Source organism: Homo sapiens, chromosome 8 (assembly GCF_000001405.40).
Source record: "Homo sapiens chromosome 8, GRCh38.p14 Primary Assembly".
In the NCBI taxonomy this organism is placed as follows: domain Eukaryota; kingdom Metazoa; phylum Chordata; class Mammalia; order Primates; family Hominidae; genus Homo; species Homo sapiens.
In genome coordinates this window covers 92,426,492-92,429,940 of record NC_000008.11, presented here as the reverse complement: position 1 = coordinate 92,429,940, position 3,449 = coordinate 92,426,492, and the positions used below count along the sequence as shown (strand labels likewise).

The following is a 3,449-nucleotide window of genomic DNA, read 5'->3' as shown; positions in this document are numbered from 1 at the left end:
TGCAGGCTTAGCATCAGGGATGAAGTGCCTTCAATGTCAAAGTGATGAGTTTAGATTTCATTCAGTAGGAGTTTAGAGAAAATGGTTGACCAAAGAGCTGTGCTTCAAAACAATTAATCTGGAAGCCAGCTGAGGAAGAATTGAGTGGGAAGATACTGAGAGGTGACAGCGTGCTGGCAACCCTCGCTCACTCTCAGTGCCTCCTCGGCCTCAGCGCCCACTCTGGCCATGCTTGAGGAGCCCTTCAGCCTGCTGCTGCACTGTGGGAGCCCCTCTCTGGGCTGGCCAAGGCCAGAGCCAGCTCCCTCTGCTTGTGGGGAGGCACGGAAGGAGAGGCGCAGGCAGGAACCGAGGCTGCACGTGGCGCATGTGGGCCAGCACGAGTTCCGGGTGGACGCGGGCTCAGGGGCCCCACGCTCGGAGTGGCCGGCCGGTGCCACCAGCCCGGTCAGTGATGGGCTTAGCACCCAGGCCAGCAGCTGCAGAGGGTGCACCAGGTCCCCCAGCACTGCCAGCCAGCCTGCACCATGCTTGAATTCTCGCCGGGCCTCAGCTGCCTCCCCGCAGGGCAGGGCTTGGGACCTGAAGCCTGCCATGCCCAAGCCTTCCCCCTGCCACCCCGTGGGCTCCCACGCAGCCTGAGCCTCCCCGACAGGCGCAGCCTCCTGCTCTGTGGCTCCCGGTCCCATCGACCGCCCAAGGGCCGAGGAGTGTGTGTGCACGGTGCGGGACTGGCGGGCAGTTCTGCCCAATGTCCCCAGCACAGGATCCACTAGGCGAAGCCAGCTTGGCTCCTGAATTGGGTGGGGACTTGGAGAACTTTTATGTCTAGCTAGAGGATTTTGAATGCACCAATCAACACTCTGTGTCTAGCTGAAGGTTTGTAAACGCACCAATCAGCACCCTGTGTCTAGCTCAAGGTTTGTAAATGCATCAATCAGTGCTCTGTGTCTAGCTAATCTAGTGGGGACTTGGAGAACTTTTGTGTCTACCTAAAGGATTGTAAATGTACCAATCAGCACTCTGTGTCTAGCTCAAGGTTTGTAAACGTACCAATCAGCACCCTGTAAAAACAGACCAATCAGCTCTCTGTAAAATGGACCAATCAGCTCTCTGTAAAATGGGCCAATCAGCTCTCTGTAAAATGGACCAATCAGCAGGATGTGGGTGGGGTCGGATAAGGGAATAAAAGCAGGCTGCCCGAGCCAGGAGCAGCAACTGGGGTGGTGTCCCATTCCAAGCTGTGGAAGCTGTGTTCTTTCACTCTTCACAATAAATCTAGGGGCTGGTAACCCTTTGGGTCTGTGCTGCCTTTTTGAGCTGTAACACTCACCGCAAAGGGAATGAAGCCAGTGAGACCACGAACCCACCAGAAGGCAGAAACTCTGAACATGTCTGAAGATTTGAAGGAACAAACGCAGGACACACCGTCCTTAAGAACTGTAATACTCACGGCGAGGGTCCGCGGCTTCATTCTTGAAGTCAGCGAGACCAAGAACCCACCAATTCTGTATACAATATTATAGGGAGAGCTAGTAGGCCTTTACTGGAGAAAGCCAGGGAGAAGACAAAATGGTTTAAATCACTGTAGGCCCTAGAAAGGAATGGGAATAAAGGAATTGGCTAAGAATTAGATATGGGATCTGAGAGGAAAGATGTAAGGGTGATCTCACCATTTTAGTATTGGGCAACAGAGAGATGTTCACAGTGTCATTCTGAAAAGCAAAGCAAGAGGAACTGATTTCTCAGAGAAAGTGGTAAATTTAGTTTTTTTTTAGGTACCTGCAGCTAGCCAGATATTCAGCTGGTGCTCAAAACGCAGGACTATATCTTCAAAATTGTCCCCAGTGTACAGTATGGCATCAAGAGCCTAACATAACACAGGTGAATAAATGAACAAATAAAAGTACCTAATTATTTTTAGAATTCTGTGAGCAAGGCAGGGCTGATAATTGGTGGCTGGTCTGGTTGTGTTGTTTTCAGCTGTGTCCATTCTGTTTGGTTAGAACCCATACTATATTGGTTATGAAATATTTTTAACACTATATAGTGTTATAAATCCCAGTTTGGCAAATAAGAAAGTGATCTTTGAAAAGTTTGGGATTTTTTTGCAATGCGTAAGCCAGTAAAGCCAGGGGTAGGCTTTGTCTTTTCACATTGCTATAAAGGAATACCTGAGGCTGGGTGATTTATAAAAGAAATATTTATTTGGCTCACAGTTCTGCAGGTTGTACAACAAGCAGGTAACTGACACCTGCTTCTGGTGAGGGCTACAAGCTGCTTCCACTCCCGGCAGAAGGGGAAGGGGAACAGGCAAGATCATGTGGTGAGAAAGAAGGAAAAGAGAGAGAAGAGAGTGCCAGACTCTCTCTAATAGCCATATTCCCTGGGAACTAAGAGCAGGAATTCACACAATCCCAGAAGAATGGCACTAAGTTATTCTTGAGGGATCCACACCCGTGACCCAAACACCCGCTGCTAGGCGTCACTTCCAACACTGGGGATCAAATTTCAACACGAGCTTTGAAGAGGTAAAATATCCTAACTATATCACACTTCATATTCTATTCTCTTCTCAGGTTTTCTTTTCTTTTCTTTACTTTTCTTTTATGAGATGGAGTCTCACTCTGTTACCCAGGCTGGAGTGCAATGGCACGATATCACCTCACTGCAACCTCTGCCTCTGGGTTCAAGAGATTCTCCTGCCTCAGCCTCCCAAGTAGCTGGGACTATAGGCACCTGCCACCACGTCAGGCTAATTTTTGTATTTTTAGTAGACACAGTTTCACCATGTTGGCCAGGCTGGTCTCGAACTCCTGACCTTGACTGATCTGCCCACCTCGGCCTCCCAGAGTGCTGGGATTACAGGTGCTCAGCCTCTTCTCAGGTTTTCTGACTCCTCCGCTTCTGGTCTTTCATTAGCCATTCCTCACATTTTCTCATGGTATTCAACAAGATGGCTAGGAAGCAATGAAAGTATAGCTGAGGCTGCCATTTGTTGAGAATGCTTTTCTTAACAACAAAACTAGGTCTGTCCTGCTTAACATACACACACCTTAGTTGTATTAAGCTCTGTTCACTTTAATTTCCTAGTAAGATTGGAAATCACGGGACTGCTTTGAGTTTCTCAAAACAGCAGAATATTCTGCAGCTCTTTGTTTTATTAAAATGACTGACCAGGGTAAACTATACTCCTCTAGCTAAACTGACTACAATATATAGTGTATAAATACTTCAGATTGAGGAAGATCAACTCCCACCGCAAGAACTCTCTGTGCTGAGTTTAAACTCCTATTTTAGCTAACTTTCCACTTTTCCCTTTCTTAGTAAGCCAGTTAGTTCCTCTTTTTTTCTCTCTCTATTTCTCAAGCTTTGGTCACCTGTAACGCTGACACTGTATCTTGCATTAAAGAGCATTTACTAGAGTTTCTTTCCTATCCTTCTATTCA

The 3,449-nt window shown here is 47.7% G+C and overlaps 1 annotated feature.

Annotated features, from left to right (window-relative positions):
- Positions 3,176-3,245: an enhancer, noted in NCBI's record as "active region_27615". NCBI's record gives its function as "activates an Ori minimal core promoter by ATAC-STARR-seq in GM12878 lymphoblastoid cells {active_cell/tissue: GM12878}" and the evidence as "EXISTENCE:reporter gene assay evidence [ECO:0000049][PMID:35858748]".